The 27,906-nt window shown below is 41.5% G+C and overlaps 1 pseudogene across 1 annotated transcript, besides 3 other annotated features; it reads left to right on the forward strand.

Moving 5' to 3' along the window:
• Positions 1-4,614: 4,614 nt before the first annotated feature.
• On the forward strand, positions 4,615-17,057 carry DPY19L1P2 (DPY19L1 pseudogene 2; annotated as a pseudogene). The gene is made up of 6 exons (NR_132360.1): positions 4,615-4,785; positions 5,707-5,830; positions 11,321-11,477; positions 11,588-11,781; positions 13,044-13,232; positions 16,727-17,057. The product of NR_132360.1 is annotated as a DPY19L1 pseudogene 2 (transcript).
• Positions 10,766-11,306: an enhancer, noted in NCBI's record as "NANOG hESC enhancer chr7:32872065-32872605 (GRCh37/hg19 assembly coordinates)". NCBI's record gives its function as "activates a minimal SCP1, AML or CMV promoter by ChIP-STARR-seq in naive H9 embryonic stem cells {active_cell/tissue: H9 hESC(naive)}" and the evidence as "EXISTENCE:reporter gene assay evidence [ECO:0000049][PMID:30033119]".
• Positions 22,802-23,303: an enhancer, noted in NCBI's record as "H3K4me1 hESC enhancer chr7:32884101-32884602 (GRCh37/hg19 assembly coordinates)". NCBI's record gives its function as "activates a minimal SCP1, AML or CMV promoter by ChIP-STARR-seq in naive H9 embryonic stem cells {active_cell/tissue: H9 hESC(naive)}" and the evidence as "EXISTENCE:reporter gene assay evidence [ECO:0000049][PMID:30033119]".
• Positions 23,304-23,803: an enhancer, noted in NCBI's record as "H3K4me1 hESC enhancer chr7:32884603-32885102 (GRCh37/hg19 assembly coordinates)". NCBI's record gives its function as "activates a minimal SCP1, AML or CMV promoter by ChIP-STARR-seq in naive H9 embryonic stem cells {active_cell/tissue: H9 hESC(naive)}" and the evidence as "EXISTENCE:reporter gene assay evidence [ECO:0000049][PMID:30033119]".

The following is a 27,906-nucleotide window of genomic DNA, read 5'->3' on the forward strand; positions in this document are numbered from 1 at the left end:
TTATAGTTAAAGCTCTTCATGGTTTTGTACTTATCTTTCTTAAAGGGTAAGGGCCAAAGCTGATCATTTTCTATCTTTCTAAAGATTTAAAATAGTTGTTGGTGTACAACAAATACCGATTTAGTACAGACTGAGTTCATGAGTGATTACTGCAGGTGCTGATAGAAAGCAGAGCTTAATTGTACAAATAATAACTTTTTTTTGTTTTGACATTCACATCACAAAGAATTCTAACAATTTCAAGTTATAAGTGCTTGAAAATTATATGTTCCTTTTTTAGTATCAAACTTACTCTTTTTTTCTCATTTGGTGCACATTTGTGTGCACATTCTTGACTTGTGCTTTTTAAAATTTAGTTTAAACCTTCCTTGGTGGTTTGTTGCTTATTTTTCCTGGATAACTGCCTCCTTGTTCTGTATTTACAGATTTATGCTTCTCCATAGTGTCACCTTTCCATCAGTCAACCAGCCTAGGTACAACAGCAGCACCTCCCTTAAACATAGCAGATAGTCAGTGAGCACCTACACTGTGCACTCTAGGGATGGAGGAGAGAGTAGTAGACAGAAAAGTCAAAAGCCAGTGTTTATAAGCCCTCAAGAAACTTGAAATCTAGCTCTGTAGACTTGTAGAGAAAGATCAAGAGAGCAAAGTGTTGTTATGGTGTGTGGACTATTTGGATGTGGAAAAAATTAGCCAGCCTGGAGGTTCCCAATCAGAATGTTGTATTATGTTAGAAAGGCACTACTTTCCACCTTTCTGACCCCTTCAGGCTGGCACAAGAAAGGAGGCTGGTTGGAAGCCTTTAATCTTGAGTCTTATCCCACAGCATGACTGATGATATAGGTTGATGCAAAAGTAATTGCGGGTTTTGGCATTAAAATAGCAAAACCTGCAATTGCTTTTTCACCAACCTAATAGAAAGTGTCACCCAGGGCAGGTTTTGCAAGTGTGGGGTTCCTGCTGGTCACACAGGACCTCGCATTCAGAAGGACCCTGAACTTGGTTGAATGTTTGCTGCTGCTGTTTTGAACGTCTTAATACTTTTTTAACAAGAGACCCCACATTTTTGTTTTGCATTGGGCCTTGTAAATTGCATAGGTGGTTGTGGCTTTACTTGAATCTGGGAGTAGAGAAAGCAGGTTGAGAAAAGAGCTTCCTACATTGTGTTCCACTTATATGAGGCTGATGGTAGAATTCTTTTGATCTCAAAGATTATTATTTTGGGGCTTTTTCTTTAGGATAATTAATCCTTTATTTGGGACTCTAGCAGAGGCCACATTCTTCTCTGGGAAGAAGTTTTGCATGACAGATGCATACTACTTTATACTAACAATTACCGATGTATTCTTAATTTGGTTTCAGCTATTTGGATGGCTCTTTTGCAAAGTACATCCTGGTGCTGTTGTTTTTGCTATATTAGCAGCAATGTCAATACCAGGTTCAGCAAATCTGCAAACCCAGTGGAATACTGTAGGGGAGTTCAGCAACTTGCCACAAGAATTTATAGAATGGATCAAATATAGTACTAAACCAGGTAAAAAAAAAAAAGTCATATTATTTAACTGTTTTTCCCACAATTTTATATACCACTGCAAACTCCAAACTCTTAAACCCTAGTTACTTCCACTGATCTTACTCTTTCTAAGCAATGTTGCTTTTAGAATATCTAAAACAAAGGAGATATCAATCCTGTTTAAATGGTTTGCATGGGAAATGTTATACATATGTTCTTAGTAATTTATTCTGCCACTTTTTATAGATTTTAATTTTTTCAAAATTTATTCACAGTCATAAATGCCACATTTAAAATAATTTTACTGTGCTTATTTTTTTAATGAATTTTTAATATTAGTCCTTCACATTCCTTCTTGAAATAAACTCATGGAATGTGGTATTTTATTCATGTGTGGAAAGGGAGACTTCGTTGTCATCTGAGTATCAAATGATTGAATACTAAATCATCTTCCAGAACTCTTTGTTACTATAAAGCTTTCCTAGTCCATTTCATACTTCTTTTCTAGATTCAGGAAAGATTTCTAAGATTTTTCTTTAAAGAAAGAAATCTTTAATGATGAGATGATGAAGCTCTATTTTCCAAGGAAAATAGTTTACCCAGGCCTGGCTGCCAACTGCTACTTTATCAGCCATCTGACTTCATTCTTTTATTTTTATTTTTATTTTATTATTATTATACTTTAAGTTTTAGGGTACATGCGCACAATGTGCAGGTTAGTTACATATGTATACATGTGCCATGCTGGTGTGCTGCACCCATTAACTCGTCATTTAGCATTAGGTATATCTCCTAAAGCTATCCCTCCCGCCTCCCTCCACCCCACAACAGTTCCCAGAGTGTGATGTTCCCCTTCCTGTGTCCATGTGTTCTCATTGTTCAATTCCCACCTATGAGTGAGAATATGCGGTGTTTGGTTTTTTGTCCTTGCGATAGTTTGCTGAGAATGATGATTTCCAATTTCATCCATGTCCCTACAAAGGACATGAACTCATCCTTTTTTATGGCTGCATGTATTCCATGGTGTATATGTGCCACATTTTCTTAATCCAGTCTATCATTGTTGGACATTTGGCTTGGTTCCAAGTCTTTGCTATTGTGAATAGTGCCACAATAAACATACGTGTGCATGTGTCTTTATAGCAGCATGATTTATAGTCCTTTGGGTATATACCCAGTAATGGGATGGCTGGGTCAAATGGTATTTCTAGTTCTAGATCCCTGAGGAATCGCCACACTGACCTCCACAATGGTTGAGCTAGTTTACAGTCCCACTAACAGTGTAAAAGTGTTCCTATTTCTCCACATCCTCTCCAGCACCTGTTGTTTCCTGACTTTTTAATGATTGCCATTCTAACTGGTGTGAGATGGTATCTCATTGTGGTTTCGATTTGCATTTCTCTGATGGCCAGTGATGGTGAGCATTTTTTCATGTGTTTTTTGGCTGCATAAATGTCTTCTTTTGAGAAGTATCTGTTCATGTCCTTTGCCCACTTTTTGATGGGGTTGTTTGTTTTTTCTTGAAAATTTGTTTGAGTTCATTGTAGATTCTGGATATCAGCCCTTTGTCAGATGAGTAGGTTGCGAAAATTTTCGCCCATTTTGTAGGTTGCCTGTTCACTCTGATGGTAGTTTCTTTTGCTGTGCAGAAGCTCTTTAGTTTAATTAGATCCCATTTGTCAATTTTGGCTTTTGTTGCCATTGCTTTTGGTGTTTTAGACATGAAGTCCTTGCCCATGCCTATGTCCTGAATAAGAGCTATCTATGACAAACCCACAGCCAATATCATACTGAATGGGCAAAAACTGGAAGCATTCCCTTTGAAAACTGGCACAAGACAGGGATGCCCTCTCTCACCACTCCTGTTCAACATAGTGTTGGAAGTTCTGGCCAGGGCAATTAGGCAGGAGAAGGAAATAAAGGGTATTCAATTAGGAAAAGAGGAAGTCAAATTGTCCCTGTTTGCAGATGACATGATTGTATATCTAGAAAACCCCATTGTCTCAGCCCAAAATCTCCTTAAGCTGATAAGCAACTTCAGCAAAGTCTCAGGATACAAAATCAATGTACAAAAATCACAAGCATTCTTATACACCAATAACAGACAAACAGAGAGCCAAATCATGAGTGAACTCCCATTCACAATTGCTTCAAAGAGAATAAAATACCTAGGAATCCAACTTACAAGGGACGTGAAGGACCTCTTCAAGGAGAACTACAAACCACTGCTCAAGGAAATAAAAGAGGATACAAACAAATGGAAGAACATTCCATGCTCATGGGTAGGAAGAATCAATACCGTGAAAATGGCCATACTGCCCAAGGTAATTTATAGATTCAATGCCATCCCCATCAAGCTACCAATGACTTTCTTCACAGAATTGGAAAAAACTACTTTAAAGTTCATATGGAACCAAAAAAGGGCCCGCATCGCCAAGTCAATCTTAAGCCAAAAGAACAAAGCTGGAGGCATCACACTATCTGACTTCAAACTATACTACAAGGCTACAGTAACCAAAACAGCATGGTACTGCTACCAAAACAGAGATATAGATCAATGGAACAGAACAGAGCCCTCAGAAATAACGCCGCATATCTACAACTATCTGATCTTTGACAAACCTGAGAAAAACAAGCAATGGGGAAAGGATTCCCTATTTAATAAATGGTGCTGGGAAAACTGGCTAGCCATATGTAGAAAGCTGAAACTGGATCCCTTCCTTACACCTTATACAAAAATTAATTCAAGGTGGATTAAAGACTTAAACGTTAGACCTAAAACCATAAAAACCCTAGAAGAAAACCTAGGCATCTGACTTCATTCTAGTTCTGCCATTGAATCTTGAAGTCATGAACCTGCTGGGCCTCCACTCTGCTACCTGTGAAATAATTTACACTTGAAGGAGACCCCTTCTCACCCTCACTGAGTGTCTTCCTGAGACATTCCTCTTGACTTCCAGATGCAATGTTTGCAGGTGCCACGCCCAGGATGGCAAGTGTTAAGCTCTCTGTGCTTCAGCCCATTGTGAATCATCCACATTATGAAGATGCAGGCTTGAGATCAAACCTTCCATGCAAACAGACAGTGAGTGGAGGACACCAGCAAAGTAATGAGGAATGTTCCAAAAGGATATGATGAACTGAGGTTTATCAAGTCGGGGAGCAGAAGGCTGAAATAAGACTGCTAAGCTCTAAACAAATCCTTTAAGTCTTCACAGGGCAGGAAAGCGACAACTTTGGGGGCTATCTTCTCTAGCAGGCAGAAAAAAGAAGTAATACTGTAGCACTTTCCCACAGGTTAACAGGGCTCTAAAATGTCCAAGTCCTTTTCATCCTGTAACTCCCTGAAGAGTTTAGCTTAGAGTGTTTAGTAAGGTTTTCTCATAGGTGATTTTTCTTGAGTTTGGAGAAGTCATTTGAAATATAATCCCATTCAAAGAGGAGTTTATTCTGGTTTTCACCAGTATAGCCTGTTAGAATGATCTTGGGTGTTTTCTTTATTTTTAGATTTTTTTGAGACTTTAAAAAATAATTTAGAGATGTGTTGTCTAAATTATTTTTTAAAAAAGATTAAATTTTTCATGCAGTTTCTAAGGCAGGTGAAGCTATTCATTTTCTAAGTGATTAGATGAATCTTATTAGCATCTTCTTTTGCATATCAATGGCATGTACATTTACAAATAAGATTTTTCATTAAAAAATCAATCTCATCAAGCTAATTTCCAGACCAATTTTGTTAAATAAGTTTAGTATTTCTAAAATCTAGAAAAAAAAATGAAGAACCACTTAATGTGAATTATTGTTGATATCAAAGTTGGGACTGTTGCAGCTTCAGAGTAGTCCTGTAGTTGTATTTCTTGTAGTTCATCCCTGTTCACACACAGGGTACCTTACTCTTATATGTGATAGATTAGTGAAGAATTTAAGACAAATAAATAAGTGAACAAACACAAAGAGACCAAGTTTGGGAATGTAGGGGTGTGTTAAAGGTCACCCTCTTCTCCACAACTTGTCCTCCTCCTGCCTTCTGCTTTTGACCTCACTGATGCCCCTTCGCAGGAACTTCCATGGGGAATTTCCTCCTGACTGGATTCTTCTTCATTGTCTTCTAGTCTAATTCAGTGCTTTCTTCCAAATGTGTTATTGTATCATTTTAATCTTGAAATTTTGTTCCCAATTATTTTTCTTTAAAGTGCCAGAACAAAAATAGTATACTCAATGTATAGTCAGAAAGCAGCTGAAGAAGTGAAGCGAGAACTGATAGTTAAAAGTGAACTATTACATTCTAGAAAAGTCATGGTGTGTAAGAAGATCCAAGTGAGTATCAACACAGTTAACATTTTATAATCATAAGACACGAAGGTTAATTCAAGCACATGGCACATGCTTTGCTGGTGGCGGGGGTGTGTATATAACATAAAGTATACGTGGAAAAAACTTTTTTTTTTTTAAATAGGCTCTCTGTTGCCCAGGCTGGAGTGCAGTGGCATAATCTAAGCTCACTGCAGCCTCCGCCTAATTTTTGTATTTTTAGTGGAGATGGGGTTTTGCCATGTTGTCCCAGGCTGGTCTCAAACTCCTGGCCTCAAGTGCTACTCCTGCCTTGGCCTCCCGAAGTGCTGGGACTACAGGCGTGAGCCACCATGCCTGGCCTGAAAAAACCTTCTTGATAATGATTTGGAGACTTTCTTTTCTAGTCTTTATAAATATCTTTTTTTAAAATAATGGTTTGTATGTGCATACTACCTTAAAGAGATTTTATTGGAACTAGTTGATAATCTCCCAAATTGTTCATATTTGCTTTTGATGTTTTTAAAGAAACTTTTATTTAAAGTTGGATGTATTTTCTTTCAAAAGACTTCCAGGGTCTGAAACCAAGTAATGGGGAGTCTCTTTTGGTGAAGTCAGGCAGCTGAGCACCAGGGGTCACATTATCCTTACTGGGTCTCTGTGCTACACCATGTCCTGTCGATGGATGGGATACCCTGTCAGCAAAAACTCAGAATGAAACTTTTCTTTCCTGGTGTTTCACATCTTACTTGAATGGGAAAATGACTCTACTGTGACCCACATTCTCTTGGGTTTATAGTTTTTAAGTTTCTATTTCCAAAGAGATGTTTACTAAGCTGAGTATAGCTCCAAGTGACAGTAAGATCTTCAAAGCAGATGTGAATCTAAAGCTATCTAGAAATGTGGCACGTAAGTGACTGGACACCAGGTGACAGTAGCCTGCTTTTAAAGTACCAAAACAGTCACTTCATGAAGAGCACAGTACAGGAACAATTTTATCAGAAATAAACACTATTTTATGGAATAATAATATTTTTAAAATTCTTACTACTCTGTAACTAAACAAAAGTGTTCAAGAGATTGCTATATTTGTGGCTTGATCATACTTGCCCACCATATATTTCAATGACACATATGGTATTAAGACAACATTGTTAAATACTGAGTCGTGAGTGAAAAATAGTTCTGTGACATAGTATCTACAGCTTTGCTCATAAGGCAACTAAAATAATTGTCGATTATAAAATGATTTTCCTATGAATGTGTGCTATGTGGTTTGAATTCAGTCAGGATTTATAGAAAATGTTATTTTGTAATAATTTAGAAAATGCTTTAAGCGTTTGTGAATATATATGAAATTCATATACTCACCTTTCACATTGTTATATAAATTTAGGACAGAAAAGTTCTAAGCATCTCATGACGATCAGGAAATTATATGAAATGAATGATAGGCTGACATTTGCAATAGGAAGAACTCTGTTCTTAGCATAGCTTTCCACCAGAATGGGGATCTTCTTTATTTCTTTGGGCTTCACTCTCTTGAAACAACTGTAAGTTACTGGAACATAAAAATAATTTTCGTAACCTTTTTTCTCCAAGCTAACAATGAGCCTTTGAGAGTTCATTTTTTGCCTAGACCCCTGCATAGAGTTTGAATATGTGAAAGTTGCAGAGGCTTTGTGCTGTAGAGTGTTGAGAGAGCTGCCTGGATTTGCATAGCTCTAACAGTCTCATGTTTGGGTAGGCAGAGCACTGTTTTACCCACACAAGAAGGGATATGAAGGCAAATTCAGGATGTATGGCAATAAACTTTGCACACTAAACAAAATCAGCAGACATTGAACTGACTTCAAGTCACTTACGAGCACTCAGACTGAGAGTTGGGGTGCAGAAGAGGGTGTGCTGGATTTCCCCATCTGGGCCTTGACTTGCCATTTATTGTGTCTGTCACAGCAGGAGTTGAGTGGGAGGAAGCTACGAAAGTGACTCTCTCATCTGTTTTCCCCACTCATTAAAACAACACTCTCCATCTAGTACAAGATCTAAGCCAGGCTGATGACACACTGTCAGGAAACCTTGGACAGGTCCACTCTGCTTCAACCTTGACACAAAACAAAAGCTGTGCTTTCTGTCCTGACAGGGAAGCAAATGGGGAGTTCAGATAGGAGAGGAAAGTGAAGAATGACTAATATTTATCTAGTGTTTACATTTACAGTAGGAAGTTTCTTGACAAAGCTTTCTGCCAGGTTTGGGACCTTCCTTATTTCCTTGGCCTTCACTCTCCATTTCAGTTATGATCAGCCTGAAACCCCTGTAGATTGCTGGGACGTGAAAGTATGTCCGAATGGGGGAAGCAGATGGGGAACTCAGTTAGGAGAGGAAGGGGAAGAGGGACCAATATTTATCTAGTGCTTAATCTGTGCCTGGCAATTGGTGAGCACTATGTTTAAATGATCTCATTTACAAGTGGCTTAATTGTATGGCTTGATTATTCCTTAAATATTTGACACTGAGTTTAAATATAAACATTCAAATCTATTTGCATGCAAGTTGTAGATTAGTTTTAAATTAACTACAGTTCTCTGCTTTCTTTTACTCCAATAATAGAGTTGACATAGAATACATGTATTTAGAAGGAAATTATTCAGATTTTCACTAATGCTATTTGCAGATGGCTGGCCTGGGGAAACCTTGGGAAACTCAGATGAGGACTAAATAGTGTTGCACAAGGCAAACAGAGCTCCCCAAGACAGCTGTTTGCCCTCTCTTTTTCCTAAAAGCTGTTGAACTCAGGAAAACTGTGGGTCGTTCTCTACTTTCTGTGCGTCTCACTCTCTGCCACCGTGGGCCCTCAGTGTTGTAACAGTTCAGCCTTGACATGTAGGAGAAAATTCCAAGGTAGAAAACCCATGCCCAGCCATATGATCATAGGTGTTCCATGTCAGTAGAAACCAGTGTCAGCAAGGGTGTGCAAAAAGTGTGTACTTGAGCCCTCTTCATGGGAACACTCGCTGGCAAAACATTTCTAGGGGATAGTTTGATGAAGGGAAGGTAAGAAAAAAATTGTGCAGTCCTTTGGCAGAGTGATAATGTTGCCTCTAGAGCAGGGGTCTCCAAGCCCCCGGCCATGAACCAGTACTGGTCTGTGGCCTGTTAGGAACCCAGTCTCACAGCAGGAGGTGAGCGGAGGGTGAACAAGCATTACAGCCTGAGCTCTGGCTCCTGACAGATGAGTGGCAGCATTAGATTCTCATAGGAGTATGAACCCTATTGTGAACTGCACATGCGGGGGATCTAGGGTACGTGCTCCTTATGAGAATCTAATGCCTGATGATCTGAGGTGAAACACTTTCATCCCAAAACCATTGCCCCCACCCTCCAATCCATGGAAAAATTACCTTGCACAAAACCAGTCCCTGGTGCAAAAAATGTTGGGGACTGCTGCTCTAGAGGTTTAGCTTGCAGAAGGGAGCACCGCACAAGACTGCTTGTAGCTGCATTGCTTTATAATGGCAAAATGGGAAAAAATTAAAGTATCTGTCTGTAAAGAACTCGTTAAATAATACATATGAGAACTAGCAGCTTTTAAAAACAATAGAGTAGGTCTTTATGCACTGAGATGGAAAAATAGTGCCACATTTTATTGTTCAGTATAGAGTCCCAGAATAATTCCATTTTTGTAAAAACAACTCAAGAGCATCTGTCAGGATTTTCCAGAGGGACAGAATTAATAGGATAAACTTATATATATGATGTCTGTGTCTGTATGTGTATCTGACATTGGATAAGAAAAGATCCAGCAGATAGCAAATATTGTATGTTCTCACTTATAAATGGGAACTAAGCTACCAGGATGCAAAGCAAAAGAATGATATGGACTATGGGGACTCCGGGGAAGCAAGGAGTGGGGTGAGGGATAAAAGACTACACACTGAGTATACTTGATACTGCTCTGGTGATGGGTGCACCAAAATCTCAGTAACTGCCATTGAAGAACTTATCCATGTAACCAAAAACCACCTGTTTTGCAAAAGCTATTGAAATAATTTTTTTTTTTAAAAAAGGTCCAGCAGGATATATGCTGGATTGTTTATAGAAGTCACCTCTGAGAAATGCTATTGGAGATGATGGTGACTTTCATTTCTTAAAATGTATGTAGGTCTATATTTGGTACTTTTATAATGACTGATTACTTATAAATTAAATATGTTATTTAAAAAGGGAAAATGATGTACATCCCTGCTACAGTGTTTGCCTCATGGTGGAGAGTGAGGAAGGGACTGCTACTAAACATAAGAGGGACTTGTTGGGAATTTTTTTTCTCTTATTTAGAAATAAAACTAAAAAGGGAAGCAATTATGACAAAACATGAGCAGTTGTCAATTCTCTATAATTTTCCCATATGTTTTTCTGTTTTTTAAAATTCCTCAAAAGGTAGATAGCAGTATCCAACAGTTCTATCTATAAAACTGTTCTTGATTTAAAATAAATGGTACTGTTATTTTGAAGGACTTATTTAGGCAAATGTCATATGATGCCAATTTTACTTATTCTATTCTTTATATATATTGCTTTTGAGATTTAATTATGTATTTAGCTAAGATGTATGTCCAACACTACCAGAATTTCTTTAAATTGATTCATTCTAGAATATCAACTGTCCAGTTTAAGATGTTTTGACCTACTGATTTTTTTACTTTATGACAGTGTTAAAGCCATATGCATTCAGTAGAAAGCATACTTCAAATACCCATACAACCATTCTGTTTTTCAGTGTCAGTACAGCATTCAATAAATTACATGAGATGTTCAACATTTTGTTATAAAACAGCATTTGTATTAGATGATTTTGTCAAACTGTAAGCTAATACAAGTGTTCCTAGCATGTTTAAGGTAGGCTAGGCTAAGCCGTGATGTTGGGTAGATTAGGTGTATTAAATGCATTTTCAACTTATGATGGGTTTATTGGAACATACCCCATTGTAAGTTGAGGAGCATCTATACAATTAATGCAACTTGCCTCTGAATTAAGCATATTTGTTCTTTATAATTTTTTTAAATCAATATTGTCAGGCCTCTGAGCCCAAGCTAAGCCATCACATCCCCTGTGACCTGCACTTATACATCCAGATGGCCTGAAGTAACTGAAGAATCACAAAAGAAGTGATACTTAAATGGCCTGTTCCTGCCTTAACTGATGACATTCCACCACAAAAGAAGTGAAAATGGCCGGTCCTTGCCTTAACTGATGACATTACCTTGTGAAATTCCTTCTCCTGGCTCATCCTGGCTCAAAAAGCTCCCCTACTGAGCACCTTGTGACCCCTCACTCCGGCCTGCCAGAGAACAACCCCCCTTTGACTGTAATTTTCCTTTACCTACCAAAATCTTAGAAAATGGCCCCACCCCATCTCCCTTTGCTGACTCTCTTTTCAGACTCAGCCCACCTGCACCCAGGTGAAATAAACAGCCTTGTTGCTCACACAAAGCCTGTTTGGTGGTCTCTTCACACAGATGCGAGTAAAATTTGGTGCCATGACTCGGACTGGGGGACCTCCCTTAGGAGATCAATCCCTATCCTCCTGCTCTTTGCTCCATGAGAAAGATCGACCTACGACCTCAGGTCCTCAGACTGACCAGCCCAAGGAACATTTCACCAATTTTAAATCGGGTAAGCGGCCTCTCTTTACTCTCTTCTCCAACCTCTCTCACTATCCCTCAACCTCTTTCTCCTTTCAATCTTGGCACCACACTTAAATCTCTCCCTTCTCTTAATTTCAGTTCCTTTCCTTTTCTGGTAGAGACAAAGGTGAAGCGTTTTATCTGTGAACCCAAAACTCCGGCGCCGGTCACAGAATCAGGAAGAGTCTTCCCTTGGTGTTTAACCACATGGGGATGCCTACATGATTATTCACCCATGTTTCAGAGGTGTCTGACCACGGAGGGATGCCTGTCTTGGTCCTTCACCCTTAGCGGCAAGTACCACTTTTTGGGGGGCAAGAACCCCCCGACCCCTTCCCTCCATGTCTCTACCTCTTCTCCACTTTCCTGGGGGCAAGCATCCCCCCACCCCTTCTCTCTGTGTCTCTACCCTCTATTTTCTCTGGACTTGCCTCCTTCACTATAGGTAAACTTCCACCCTCCATTCTCCTTCTCCCTTAGCCTGTGTTCTCAAAGACTTAATACCTCTTCAACTCACATGTGACCTAAAACCTAAATGCCTTATTTTCTTCTGCAATGCCACTTGACCCCAATACAAACTCGACAGTGGTTCCAAATAGCCAGAAAATGGCACTTTCGATTTTTCCATCCTACAAGATCTAAATAATCCTTGTCGTAAAATGGGCAAACAGTCTGAGATGCCTGACGTCCAGGCATTCTTTTACACATCGGTCCCTCCCTAGTCTCTGTTCCCAATGCAACTTGTCCCAAATCTTCCTTCTTTCCCTCCCACCTGTCCCCTCAGTCCCAACCCCAAGCGTCGCTGAGTCTTTCTTCTTTCCAATCTTCCTTTTCTATAGACCCATCTGACCTCTCCCCTCCTCCCCAGGCTGCTCCTCGCCAGGCTGAGCTAGGTCCCAATTCTTCCTCAGCCTCCGCTCCCCTACCCTATAATCCTTTTATCACCTCCCCTCCTCACACCCGGTCGGGCTTACAGTTTCCTTCTGCAACAAGCCCTCCCGCACCTGCCCAGCAATTTCCTCTTAAAAAGGTGGCTGGAGCTAAAGGCATAGTCAAAGTTAATGCTCCTTCTTCTTTATCCCAAATCAGAGAGCGTTAGGCTCTTTTTCACCAAATAAAAAACCCAGCCCAGTTCATGGCTGCTTGGCAGCAACCCTGAGACGCTTTACAGCCCTAGACCCTAAAAGGTCAAAAGGCTGTCTTATTCTCAATATACATTTTATTACCCAATTTGCTCCCGACATTAAATAAAACTCCAAAAATTAAATTCCAGCTCTCAAACCCCATAACAGGACTTAACTAACCTCGCCTTCAAGGTGTACAATAATAAAGTGGAGGCAGCCAAGTAGCAATGTATTTCTGAGTTGCAATTCCTTGCCTCCACTGTGAGACAAATCCCAGCCATATCTCCAGCACACAAGAACTTCCAAATGCCTGGACCACAGCTGCCAGGGGTTCCTCCAGAATCTCCTCCCCAAGCCCTGGAAATCTGGCCACTGGGCCAAGGAATGCCCATGGCCCAGGATTCTTCCTAAGCTGTGTCCCATCTGTTCAGGACCCCACTGAAAATCGGACTGTTCAACTCCCCTGGCAGCCACTTCCAGAGCCCCTGGAACTCTGGCCCAAGGCTCTCTGACACCTTCCCAGACCTTCTTGGCTTAGCAGCTGAAGACTGACACTGCCCGATCGCCTCAGAAGCCTATAGGACCTTCACAGATGCTCTGGGTAACCCTCACAGTGGAGGGTAAGTCTGTCCCCTTCTTAATCAATACAGAGGCTACCCACTGCACATTACCTTTTTTTCAAGGGCCTATTTCCCTTACCTCCATAACTGTTGTGGGTATTGACAGCCAGGCTTCTAAACCTCTTAAAATTCCCCAACTCTGGTGCCAACTTAGACAATATGCTTTTAAGCACTCCTTTTTAGTTATCCCCACCTGCCCAGTTCCCTTGTTAGGCCAAGACACTTTAACTAAATTATCTTCTTCCCTGACTATTCCTGGGCTACAGCCACACCTCATTGCTGCCTTTTCCCCCAGTTCAAAGCCTCCTTCACATCCTCCCCTTATATCTCCCCACCTTAACCCACAAGTATAGGACACCTCTACTCCCTCCTTAGCGACCGATCATGCACCCCTTACCATCCCATTAAAACCTAATCACCCTTACCCCGCTCAATGCCAATATCCCATCCCACAGCATGCTTTAAAAGGATTAAAGTCTGTTATCACTCACCTGCTACAGCATGGCCTTTTAAAGCCTATAAACTCCCCTTACGATTCCCCCATTTTACCTGTCCTAAAACCAGACAAGGCTTACAGGTTAGTTCAGGATCTGCACCTTATCAACCAAATTGTTTTGCCTATCCACACCGTGGTGCCCAACACATATACTCTCTGCCTCAATACCTCCCTCCACAACCCATTATTCTGTTCTGGATCTCAAACATGCTTTCTTTACTATTCGTTTGCACCCTTCATCCCAGCCTCTCTTCGCTTTCACTTGGACTGACCCTGACACCCATCAGGTTCAGCAAATTACCTGGGCTATACTGCCACAAGGCCTCACAGACAGCCCCTATTACTTCAGTCAAGCCCAAATTTCTTCCTCATCAGTTACCTATCTTGGCTTCTCATAAAAACACATGTGCCCTCCCTGCCGATCATGTCCACCTGATCTCTTAAAACCCAGCACTTTCTACAAAACAACAATTCCTTTCCTTCCTAGGCATGGTTGGATACTTTCAACTTTAGATGCCTGGTTTTGCCATTCTAAAACCATTTTATAAACTCACAAAAGGAAACCTAGCTGACCCCATAGATCCTAAATCCTTTCCCCACTCCTTTCCGTTCCTTGAAGACAGCTTTAGAGACTGCCCCCACTCTAGCTCTCCCTGACTCATCCCAACCCTTTTCATTACACACTGCTGAAGTGCAGGGCTGTGCAGTCAGAATTCTTACACAAGGACCAGGATGGCATCCTGTAGCCTTTTTGTCCAAACAACTTGACCTTATTGTTTTAAGCTGGCCATTATGTCTCCATGCAGTGGCTGCTGCCGCTCTAATACTTTTAAAGGCCCTTAAAATCACAAACTATGCTCAACTCACTCTCTACAGCTCTCATAATTTCCAAAATCTATTTTCTTCCTCACACCTGACGCATATACTTTCTGCTCCCTGGCTCCTTCAGCTGTACTCACTCTTTGCTGTGTCTCCCACAATTACCATTGTTCCTGGCCCGGACTTCAATCCAGCCTCCCACATTATTCCTGATACCACACCTGACCCTCATGACTGCATCTCTCTGATCCACCTGACGTTCACCCCATTTCCCCACATTTCCTTCTTCCCTGTTTCTCACCCTGATCACACTTGGTTTATTGATGGCAGTTCCACCAGGCCTAATTGCCACACACCAGCAAAGGCAGGCTATGCTGTAGCACAAGCCACTAGCCCGCCTCTTAAAACCTCTCATTTCCTTTCCATTGTAGAAAACTGTCCTCAAGGAAATAACTTCTCAGTGTTCCATCTGCTATTCTACTACTCCTCAAGGATTATTCAGGCCCCCTCCCTTCCCTACACATCAAGCTTAAGGATTTGCCCCCACCCAGGACTGGCAAATTAGCTTTACTCAACATGCCCTGAGTCACAAAAACTAAAATACCTCTTAGTCTAAGTAGACACTTTCACTAGATAGGTAGAGGCCTTTCCTACAGGGTCTGAGAAGGCCACCACAGACATTTCTTCCCTTCTGTCAGACATAATTCCTCAGTTTAGCCTTCCCACCTCTATACAGTCTGATAACAGACCAGCCTTTATTAGTCAAATCAGCCAAGCAGTTTTTCAGACTCTTAGTATTCAGTGAAACCTTTATATCCCTTACAGTCCTCAGTCTTCAGGAAAAGTAGAACATACTAAAGGTCTTTTAAAAACACACCTTACCAAGCTCAGCCACCAACTTAAAAAGGAATAGACAATACTTTTACCACTTTCCCTTCTCAGAATTCAGGCCTGTCCTCAGAATGCTACAAAGTACAGCCCATTTGAGCTCCCATATAGATGCTCCTTTTTATTAGGCCCCAGTATCATTCCAGACACCAGACCAACTTGGACTGTGCCCCAAAAAACTTGTCATCCCTACTGTCTTCTGTCTAGTCATACTCCTATTCACTGTTCTCAGCTACTCATACGTGCCCTGCTCTTGTTTACACTGCCAGTTTACACTGTTTCTCCAAGCCATCACAGCTGATATCTCCTGGTGCTAGCCCCAAACCGCCACTCTTAACTCTTATAGTAAATAAATAATCTTTGCAGGCAAGGCTATGCTGAACCTCCTTAGGCACTCTCTAATTAGATGTCCTAGGTCCTCCCAATTCTTAGTCCTTTAATACCTGTTTTTCTCCTTGTCTTATTCCATTTAGTTTTTCAATTCATACAAAACTGTATCCAGGTCATCACCAATAATTCTAAATGACAAATGTTTCTTCTAACAACCCCACAATATCACCCCTTACCACAAAATCTTCCTTCAGCTTAATCTCTCCCACTCTAGGTTCCCACGCCACCCCTAATCCCGCTCAAAGAAGCCCTGAGAAACATCGCCCATTATCTCTCCATACCACCCCCAAAAATTTTTGCCGTCCCAACACTTTACCACTATTTCATTTTATTTTTCTTATTAATATAAGAAGACAGGAATGTCAGGTCTCTGAGCCCAAGCTAAGCCATCGTATCCCCTGTGACCTGCATGTACACATCCAGATGGTGGGTTCCTGCCTTAACTGATGACATTCCACCACAAAAGAAGTGAAAATGGCCTGTTCCTGCCTTAACTGATGACATTGTCTTGTGAAATTCCTTCTCCTGGCTCATCCTGGCTCAAAAGCTCCCCAACTGAGTACCTTGTGACCCCCACTCCTGCCCACCGGAGAAAAACCCCCCTTTTTCCTTTACCTACCCCAATCCTACAGAAGGGCCCCACCCCATCTCCCTTCGCTGACTCTCTTTTCGGACTCAGCCCGCCTGCACCCAGGTGATTAAAAGCTTTATTGCTCACACAAAGCCTGTTTGTTGGTCTCTTCACATGGACGCGCATGAAAGCTACATGACAGGATTGTTTAAAAACTAAAGTAATTTAAGGGGAAAAAAGGAAATGAGATCAGGAATGTAAGAAGTGCCCTGCTTTCTCTGCAGTTATATAATGCATACTGATTTTTAACATGTACATTCATTTTTCTAGGCCTGGTTGCAGTATGCCTGAAATTTGGGATGTAGAAGATCCTGCCAATGCTGGGAAAACTCCCTTATGTAACCTCTTGGTGAAGGATTCCAAACCTCACTTCACCACTGTATTCCAGAACAGTGTTTACAAAGTCCTAGAAGTTGTAAAAGAATGACTGCTACATGACCTGCTGCCTACGGAGAACTACATCTCTAATGGTTTTAATGTTTTGCTAAGTCATGTGTTGTTCATATCCCAAAAACTTTTATAGGTAACTGTTTTCAAATAGAAAATGTTTTATTTGGTCAATTTGAATGTCATTCTAATTATAAAAATGACTCATACCTTTCATGCGCGTCCGTGTGAAGAGACCACCAAACAGGCTTTGTGTGAGCAACATGGCTGTTTATTTCACCTGGGTGCAGGTGGGCTGAGTCCAAAAAGAGAGTCAGCATAGGGAGATAAGGGTGGGGCCATTTTATAGGATTTGGGAAGGTAATGGAAAATTACAATCAAAGGGGGTTGTTCTCTGGTGGGCAGGGGTGGATCTCACAAAGTACATTCTCAAGTGTGGGGAGAATTACAAAGAACCTTCTTAAGGGTGGGGGAGATTACAAAGTACATTGATCAGTTAGGGTGGGGCAGGAACAAATCACAATGGTGGAATGTCATCAGTTAAGGCTGTTTTTACTTCTTTTGTGGATCTTCAGTTACTTTAGGCCATCTGAATGTATACGTGCAAGTCACAGGGGATGCGATGGCCTGGCCTGGGCTCAGAGGCCTGACATTCCTGCCTTCTTATATTAATAAGACAAATAAAACAAAATAGTGTTGAAGTGTTGGGGCGGCGAAAATTTTTGGGGGGTGGTATGGAGAGAGAATGGGTGATGTTTCTCAGGGCTGCTTCAAGCGGGATTAGGGGTGGCGTGGGAACCTAGAGTGGGAGAGATTAAGCTGAAGGGAGGTCTTGTGGTAAGGGGTGATATTGTGGGGATGTTAGAAGAAACATTTGTCGTATAGAATGATTGGTGATGGCCTGGATACGGTTTTGGATGAATTGAGCGAGCTTAATGTGTAGGGAAGGGAGGGGGCCTGAATAATCCCTGAGGAGTAGTAGAATAGCAGATGGAACACTGAGAAGTTATTTCCTTGAGGATAGATTTCCACGATGGAAAGGAAATGAGAGGTTCTAAGAGGCGGGATAGTGGCTTGTGCTATAGCATAGCCTGCCTTTGCTGGTGTGTGGCGATTAGGCCTGGTGGAACTGCCATCAATAAATCAAGCGTGATCAGGGTGAGGAACAGGAAAGAAGGAAATATGGGGAAATGGGGTGAATGTCAGGTGGATCAGAGAGATACAGTCATGGGGGTCAGGTGTGGTATCAGGAATAATGTGGGAGGCCAGATTGAAGTCCGGGCCAGGAACAATGGTAATTGTGGGACTTAACAAAGAGTGAGTACAGCTGAAGGAGCTGGGGAGCAGAAAGTATATGCGTCAGGTATAAGGAAGAAAAAGATTTCGGAAGTTATGAGAAATGTAGAGTGAGTTGAGCATAGTTTGTGATTTTTAGGGCCTCTAGAAGTATTAAAGCATCGGCAGCCGCTGCATGCAGACATGAGGGCTAGGCTAAAACAGTAAGGTCAAGTTGTTTGGACAGAAACGCTGCAGGGTGTGGTCCTGGCTCTTGTGTAAGAATTCTGACCATGCTAACCATGCCTAGGAAGGAAAGGAGTTGTTGTTTTGTAAGGGATTGAGGTTTGGGAGATTAATCGGACACGATCAGCAGGGAGAGCATGTGCGTTTTTATGAGAATTATGCTGAGATAGGTAACAGATGAGGATGAAATTTGGGCTTGACTGAAGTAATGGGGGCTGTCTGTGAAGCCTTGCGGCAGTACAGCCCAGGTAATTTGCTGAGCCTAATGGGTGTCAGGGTCAGTCTAAGTGAAGGCAAAGAGAGGCTGGGATGAAGGGTGCAAAGAAATAGTAAAGAAAGCATGTTTGAGATCCAGAACAGAATAATGGGTAATAGAGGGAGGTATTGAGGATAGGAGAATATATGGGTTGGGCACCATGGGGTGGATAGGCAAAACAATTTGGTTGATAAGGCGCAGATCCTGAACTAACTTGTAAGCCTTGTCTGGTTTTAGGACAGGTAAAATGGGGGAATGGTAAGGAGAGTTTATAGGTTTTAGAAGCCCATACTGTAGCAGGCGAGTGATAACAGGCTTTAATCCTTTTAAAGCATGCTGTGGGATGGGATATTGGCGTTGAGCAGGGTAAGGGTGATTCGATTTTAACGGGATGGTAATGGGCATGTGATCGGTTGCCAGGGAAGGAGTAGAGATGTCCCATATTTGTGGGTTAAGGTGGGGGGATATGAGAGGAAGATGCAAAGGAGGCTTTGGGCTGGGGAGAAGGGTGGCAATGAGATGCAGCTGTAGTCCAGGAATAGTCAGGGAAGCAGATAATTTGGTTAAAATATCTCGGCCTAATAAGGGAACTGGGCAGGTGGGGATAACTAAAAAAGAGTGCATAAGAGTGTTGTCCAAGTTGGCACCAGAGTGGGGGAGTTTTCAGGGGTTTTGAAGCTTGGCCGTCAATACCCACAACAGTTATGGAGGCAAGGGAAACAGGCCCTTGAAAAGAAGGTAATGTGGAGTGGGTAGCCTCCGTATTGATTAAGAAGGGGACGGACTTATCTTCCACTGTGAGAGTTACCCAAAGCTCGGCGTCCGTGATGGTCTACAGGGCTTCTGAGGCGATCGGGCAGCATGAGTCTTCAACCGCTAAGCCGAGAAGGAGTCAGTCAGAGAGCCTTGGGCCAGAGTTCCAGGGGCTCCGGGAGTGGCTGCCAGGTGAGTTGAACAGTCCGGTTTCCAGTGGGGTCCCACACAGATGGGACACGGCTTAGGAGGAATCCTGGGCTGCAGGCATTCCTTGGCCTGGTGGTCAGATTTCTGGCACTTGTAGCAAGCTCCTGGGGGAGGAGGTTCTGGAGGAACGCCTGGCCGCTGCGGTTCAGGCGTTTGGAAGTTCTTGTGTGCTGGAGATGTGGCTGGGATTTGTCTCACAGTGGAGGCAAGGAATTGCAACTTTTTTCTATTATTGTACACCTTGAACGCGAGGTTAATTAAATCCTGTTGTGGGGTTTGAGGGCCGGAATTTAATTTTTGGAGTTTTATTTAATGTCGGGAGCAGATTGGGTAATAAAATGTATATTGAGAATAAGATGGCCTTTTGACCTTTTAGTTTCTAGGGCTGTAAAGCATCTCAGGGTTGCTGCTGAACGAGCCATGAACTGGGCTGGGTTTTTATATTTGATGAAAAAGAGCCTAAACGCTTCTGATTTGGGATAAAGAAAAAGGAGCATGAACCTTGACTATGCCTTTGGCTCCAGCCACCTTTTTAAGAGTAAATTGCTGGGCAGGTGGGGGAGGGCTAGTCACAGAACGAAACTGTAAGCCGGACCAGGTGTGAGGAGGGGAGGCGATAAAAAGATTACAGGGTGGAGGAGCGGAGGCTGAGGAAGAATTGGGACCTAGCTTGGACTGGCGAGGAGGGGAGAGGTCAGATGGGTCTGTAGAAAAGGAAGATTAGAAACACTTGGTGATGCTTGGGGTTGGGACTGAGGTGACAGGCGGGAGGGAAAGAAGGAAGATTTGGGACGAGTTGCACTGGGCACAGAGACTAGGAAGGGACTGATGTGTAAAAGAATGCCTGGATGTCAGGCACCTCAGACCATTTGACCCTTTTACGACAAGGATTATTTAGATCTTGTAGGATGGAAAAATTCAAAGTGCCATTTTCCGGCTATTTGGAACTACTGTCGAGTTTGTATTGGGGCCAAGCGGTGTTGCAGAAGAAAATAAGGTGTTTAGGTTTTAGGTGAGGTGTAAGTTGAAGAGGTTTTAAGTTCTTGAGCACACAGGCTAAGGGAGAAGAGGGAGGAATGGAGGGTGGAAGGTTGCCTATATTGAAGGAAGCAAACCCAGAGAAAAGAGAACGTAGAGACATGAAGGGAAGGGGTTTGGGGGTTCTTTCCCCCTAGAAAAGCGGGACTTGCCACTAAGGGTGAAGGAGAAGGGGTTGAGGGGTACTTGCCCCTGCCCCAGGAAAGCAGAGAAGGGGTAGAGACAAGGAGAGAAGGGGTTGGGGTACTTGGCCATTCCCCAGGAAAGCAGAGAAGGGGTAGAGACAAGGAGAGAAGGGGTTGGGGTAATTGCCCTTTCCCCAGAAAAGTGGGACTTGCCGCTAAGGGTGAAGGACCAAGGCAGGCGTCCCTGCGTGGTCTGACACCCTTGAAACGTGGGTGTATAATCAGAGAGGCGTCCCTGCAATGATTAAACACCAAGGGAAGACTTCCTTCCCAGTCCGTGACCGGCGCCGGAGTTTTGGGTCCACGGATAAAACGTGTCTCTTTTGTCTCTACCAGAAAATGAAAGGAATTGAAATTAAGAGAAGGGAGAGATTGAAGTGTAGCACCAAGATTGAAAGGAGAAAGAGGTTGACGGATAGTGAAGGAAGTTGGAGAAGAGAGTAAAGAGAGGCCGCTTACCGGATTTGAAATTGGTGAGATGTTTCTTGGGCTGGTCTGTCTGAGGACCTGAGGTCGTAGGTGGATCTTTCTCATGGAGCAAAGAGCAGAAGGAGGGGGGATTGATCTCCCAAGGGAGGTCCCCCGATCCAAGTCACGGCACCAAATTTCATGCGCGTCCATGTGAAGAGACCACCAAACAGGCTTTGTGTGAGCAACATGGCTGTTTATTTCACCTGGGTGCAGGTGGGCTGAGTCCGAAAAGAGAGTCAGCATAGGGAGATAAGGGTGGGGCCGTTTTATAGGACTTGGGAAGGTAATGGAAAATTACAATCAAAGGGGGTTGTTCTCTGGTGGGCAGGGGTGGATCTCACAAAGTACATTCTCAAGTGTGGGGAGAATTACAAAGAACCTTCTTAAGGGTGGGGGAGATTACAAAGTACATTGATCAGTTAGGGTGGGGCAGGAACAAATCACAATGGTGGAATGTCATCAGTTAAGGCTGTTTTTACTTCTTTTGTGGATCTTCAGTTACTTTAGGCCATATGGATGTATATGTGCAAGTCACAGGGGATGCGATGGCCTGGCCTGGGCTCAGAGGCCTGACAATACCTTTATCAATTGGTTACTATTTCAATGCCCCCTTTAAAATTTGCTATGCAAATGAGTATATGCTTGTACTTGACTTCCATATTTGTGCTAAAGTGAGCAAAGTTATCTATATAAAGAAAACACAATGAGTTGTGACAAGGATGACGTGAAAATACAGGACAATTCTGACAATGTAGGGGCTGATTTTATAGTGTAAGAACTATTAATGCCCCTTGCTTCTTTTTTCTGCCTCTTGCTCTTGTCTTTTGGACATTTCAGTGATTGTAAGTTCTTCGGTCATGTCAGCCCCTGTCATCAACTTGAGTTACAGTAGATGGGGCAGACATGGAGTGTTTGCTTTGCGGAACTATCTGTCTGTTTTGCTTCCTTGTGCTCTTTTTGTTCTCTGTTCTCCTGTTAATGAAGCTTTTCCTGCCCATTATTAATCCAAACTCTTGGGCCTTGTGGTTAGGAAATTCCCTTAACTTCCAGCCATGTGGCATTATCATGTCTCTTTCTCTCTCTCGCTCTCTCTCCTCTCCTCCTCCCCCCAACATTTTCTGTCAAATAAGTACTGTTTACTCATTTAGTTGCTTATCAAATACTTATTCTTGGTTTTAAAAAAATTATTGGTAACTGTACTTTTCTTATTTTTTAGCATTATTCAAATGTTTACATTTTAATACTTTAAACCACTTTAAAATTTTTTCATGTTTAATTGTAGTTTTAAGAAAAACTATTTTGAACAACCCCAAATATAGTGCATCTAGAAACTAATGTATATTTGAGTAGACATCACTTATAGTGGAACAGTAGACTGTAGTACATGGTAATTTTCCTTTTACTCTTAAGATACAATAAAACATGACTAATTTTCCTGTCAAAAATGTAAAGAATAACAATAAATGAAGTTTTTATATTTTACTTTTAAGATTGCCTGTCTTTACTAAGACAAAGCCTTAAGCCTTATGTTATAATTTTGGTTCTAAAAATCATCATTTCAGTATGAGGAATGAGTATATTTCGTCCTCCTCTTTAGTTTTCTTCTTCCTATTTATTTTTATTTTGAGAAATTTCTACACCTTCTTTGAATTCCTTGTATGAATTTTTGTTTCCTAGAAGTTAATTTGTGTGAAATGAGATTCTTCAAAACGATGAAACCTCGTAGCTCTGAGAAAAGGTTTTAGGGTTTTAAATTCTAAGCAAACCATGACTATGGCTGACTGACTACACATTTAATTATACAGCTTCTCTTTCTTAACCACAGGCAGATTAACCTCATTGTGGATTGTCCTTCAGACCTTAGTCCTCAGGCATGGTTTCTGGTGCCCATTCCTGGAAGCCGCTGTTCCCTTTCTACCTTCTTACCAGAGCCCAAGGGCAGGCCTGGTCTCGAGGAAGCAGCAGCTTGCTGACATGAGTCAGCTGCAAAGGCTGAGGAGTGTGCCCTCAGAGAAGCAGCGCCCCCCAGTCCTGCCCCAGTGCCCAGAGCCGCAGCTCCTAGGGATGCTCCTTCCCTGGAGGCGGCCCAGGAGAGGGACTCTGGCAGCGTTCTTCAGATTTGTGACCACTGTTTCTCATTTGCTGGTTGACTATTTTTATTTCTTAGGCTTTTGCTAGTTTTAGAAAATAGGAAAGCAGCCCGTGATTTGTGGATTAAAAGCAACATTTGAGCGATGATGCACAACAGTCCAGGAAAATGGGCAGTGACACTTGAGGCTGAGGATGGGAGTCGACATGAGCAGGGAGAGGGAGGTGCGCGCTGCTTATCTGTGATTGTTGCTCACCTGAGTGTGGCTGATTGTGTACATCCAGCAGCTACAATTTTTAAAAATTATATTTTTACATTTATTTTATATTTTTCTCACCCCCAGTAATTTCCTTCCAAATAAGTTCACATGTAATAAGTAGAAATTCTGTACAGGAAAAAAGCATTAAAAATACTATTATAACTGCTTCATTTGCTGGGAACCATTACAAGTAGTATAAATTAGCTTTTTCCAGAAGGATCCTCTTGTAGCAGGGTTTATGAATGTAACCCCCAGCAAAATGTGACTATATATTAGGAGAGCCAGTTTGGAGCAGAGGCCTGAAGGTCCCTGCTATGCAGCCGTGGCCACAGCTCACAGCACCAGTGCTGTGGAGCATCCACACCTTTGATGGCAATGCAGAGTGATAGCAGGTTCCATAGGTGTGACAAAACAGCATTAAAGCTCAGTATTTTGCATATTTTTAGCATTTAAAAATATTTTTGCTTTAGTGTGAGGAAAGTAAGGATGGGCAAAGAGGCGATCAAAATAGCTATTGCTATGACATTTTAGAAAACAAAGTTGGGGCCGTATTTCTTTAAAAAGATAAGCCTCTAAAAATGCTTGGCAAAAAAACTATAGTGTTAAAATAGGCCAGTGATATTAATGAGAAAATGAAAGTATATATCAGGAATAAAGTGATATTGCATAGGAGTATTGTATTTTTATGAATTTTGTGCCAGTTGTTTACATGTACTATATATGTTAAATAAAAAAATCATGAAAAATGAGGGAAATGTTTTTCTTGATTGTTATTTTCATTTCCACCTTGACTGTGATCAAGTTCGGCCTCGTTTTGTAGTCAGATAGCCATGAACTGGTTTGAGTCAGATGGCAGTCCTGAGAAGAGAGGGAGGGATCATAACAGTGGGGGTAGACTCTGGTCTTGTTGTTGGTAGTGGTAGGCACTGAGATTATCCGAACTTTTCCTGTATTTATGGTAGAGTCACTTACATTCCTTTATCCTTTTCATCAAGGGACACAGTAATTCATTCAAACTATATATTGGGAATAATTAAAGGGTTGCTAAAAGCTGCTTTAATGTATTTAAAAAATACGTTGGTATCAACATTTTCTAAATTGTAGCTCAATGTTTTTACTTGATACAAACATCAACTTCTTGGTTCTTTCTCTATGTAGGAAAGACATTTCAGCTCTCTTCATTCCTGTGTAATTACTTTCTTAACACAATGACACCTTGATTCTGACATCTTTGGGGAATGAGGTGTTCTAATACAGTTTAAAAGTAGCTCCTCTTTTAATTAGCAGGCATCAGCATCACCTGGAAGGCCTGTAGATTGCTGGGCCCCACCACAGAGGTTTCTGTTTCAGTTGGCCTATGGTGGGGCCCCAGAACTTGGATTTCTTAACAGTTCTCAGGTGGTGTTGAGGCTGTTCGTCCAGGGACGATACTTGAGAGCCTCTGCTCTAATCGGTGGGTACAGACTGGCTGGATGACTGGCCTCCAGGGGGCGCTCCATTCCTCACAGCAATCCCACCAGAGCTGGTTGATGGACACTCTACCAGGAGCTGAATTTTACCACGTACCTTCTTTGCCTGTTAGGGGGCACTGCTTCAATGAAACTTGCAAGGAGCAAAGAACAGATTAGGAAATTTTTAATCGGAACACTGATATGAATTATAGATTATTTACATATTTTGAAGCTGCAAACTGCACCTCGTTTCTTTTCAGTTCAGAGATGGAAAAGGAGTGAAAATCCTTGAAATAGAACTTCCTTTTGTAGGATTACTTTGTCTAGAAGACAATACATAAATTCAATGATGTGTGGGGATTGCAAAAATTCATTTTCCACTTTATTACTTTTGTTTTGGCACCACAAATCCGAATCTTCTTCCTTTATTAGAAGTCAGCCAATAATCAGCGCTAGGTCACAGATTGCTTGCTTCTTTCTTCTTCCTCCTTTTTCTCCTGCCCCCAACTAGAAGTTTCTAATTTGAATCAACAAAATTGTTCTCAATGCAGAAAAAGAGGAGCTACTTTTAAACTTCATTACATTCCTGAATTGGTCTTTATTTCACAGCATCGTTATCAGGACGAATACATTTTACATTAGAAATTGAAAAGGATATTAAGGTACAAAAAGGTCTTGAAAACTTTCCTTTTACATTTCCTCCCGTGAGAGAGATTTTAAAATTCTGAATGAATATATAAGAATTGAAGACTCGATTTGATTGTAGTGTAATTAAGAGATAGTTTTCCTTTTTTTCAAAGAGATTAGGATAACATTGATACTGGATCCACTTTCAAAGCAATGTTTTCTATAGTTTTCTATACTCAGTTATCTTTAACCCAAAACTCTAAATAAGTATGCACAGTGTTGTCAAAATGACTTTCAAATAAATGGTAGCACTACATGGTATTCTGCTTCATAGGCATGTTCTTTTAAATGCAGCATAATATCATTTCGTTGATTTTTTTAAGTATCTGGTGGGCCTTTTTCCTGTAGGCAAATTTAATATCTTGGCGGGGGGAGTTGAATTTTGCAGACTTCAGCTCGTTTGGTTGTTATGCTGATTACTCTGATACCCTTAGTCCTTATGCATTTCTGAAAAAATAGAAATGAAAATACGAAATGGCCACTGCTAAGTAGATTTGGCATAATGTCATGAAAACTGGGAAAGAAAGATGCCTGCAGGCCACCTCTGGCTCTGCCCCCTGCTGCTGATATCCTGCTCTTTGGCCAGGCTCCTCAAGTCTTCACTCTGGTATCCGCTTAGTGAACAGACTTCAGATTCGGAGGCCTCGCTCTTGCTCTGGAAAATTCTCTTCCCAGAAGAGTACAATTTGGTAATCCCTTGAGCCCTTTACATAGGTAACAAATTTGACCTTTTTGAACAGACTTATATGGCAGTAATTCTCAAACTTATCTGCACATTAAAATTACTTGGGGAGCTTCAAAAAATCCTGAAGCCTTTTTCCCACCCCTAGAGATGTGTGGCCTGAGATTTAGAATTTTTTTTAATCCCCAGTGATTCTAGTGCCCTAGGGCTAACATTTTAGAACTTGCCCTCCCTACTTCACCTCTGAATAACAAGATTTCCACATCTCCACCCAGTCAAAGTAGGAATGGCAAGCGTCTGTCATGTACACTTTATTAATTGTGATTATTAATTTCTACATTATTTCTAATCATGGCACCTAGTGTTGAGTAGACTCTTCAGGAAAGAATTCTGTCTTCAGTTATGGATGCTGCCAATGGCAGGGAGAAGGGGGAGAGTGGCAGTGCAGGTGCCACATATTTGTAAACCCTGATTAGAGTGTCAAGAAGAAATGGGAATATAGCAGCAAAAAGAAAAAATACAAATCACTTTGAAAATTTATTGTGTGAGGAATCATGTGTCTTCTCTGCAGATGCTTTTTGCCCCTCCTGGAATATGCTTTTCTTAGTATGTATTTCAGATACAACTCAAATGTCACCTCTTCTGTGAGGTCTTTCCTGACTGCCTGCCATTTGGTTGAGTGCATTGCCTCCCACTGCCCACGTGCCCATAACTCCCACGCACACATTTATCAACATGACTTTTCCCCCACTCTATTGTGTTCTTCATAAAAAGAACATGTCTTACTCCATTCTGAATCCACAGTGCCTCTTAGCACAGTTCCTGGAAAGTAGTACTGCTTAATGATGTTTTGAAATAAACCATACTTTATTCAACAATGCAGTAAATTGCAGATGGCAATAAAAGTTGTTTTTAGGACTAAAAGACAGTTTATGTTTTCCAGCCATGGAAAAGAAATAACAAGGAAATGCAGGACATCATCAGATGAGGTAAATATCATAGGGGAAAATATCCGTGTCAAACAGCTAAACAATAATTAACCTCATAGCATATCCTTGGTAGGTACTTTCAGACATGGCTAGTGACCATATGAATTTATTGGAAGGCAATATGATAAAGACACATACATCTGTCCAGGGGCGGGACTCATTGACTGATTTCAGTGTGTGGCTCAGGATACTGTGGTGACCAGCCATAGACACATTTGCTGCTGAACAGGGAGCAAGGAACTCTGGTAATTTGATTAAAAGTCTGGGAAGAGGGATTTTCCAAAGGATGAGAAGGGACTGATGTGTTATTATTGGGTGTAGATATTAGGGAAAACAGATGACAACAGTTGCACAATTAATATTGTCATAATAGAGACAACTACGCTGGAATCCATAATCCATCCTTTACAAACTTAGTGAAATAGGGCATGTTTCTTGAACATCAGTTTCTTTTAAAAGAATATGGCTTTTA

Source organism: Homo sapiens, chromosome 7 (assembly GCF_000001405.40).
Source record: "Homo sapiens chromosome 7, GRCh38.p14 Primary Assembly".
Taxonomy (NCBI): domain Eukaryota; kingdom Metazoa; phylum Chordata; class Mammalia; order Primates; family Hominidae; genus Homo; species Homo sapiens.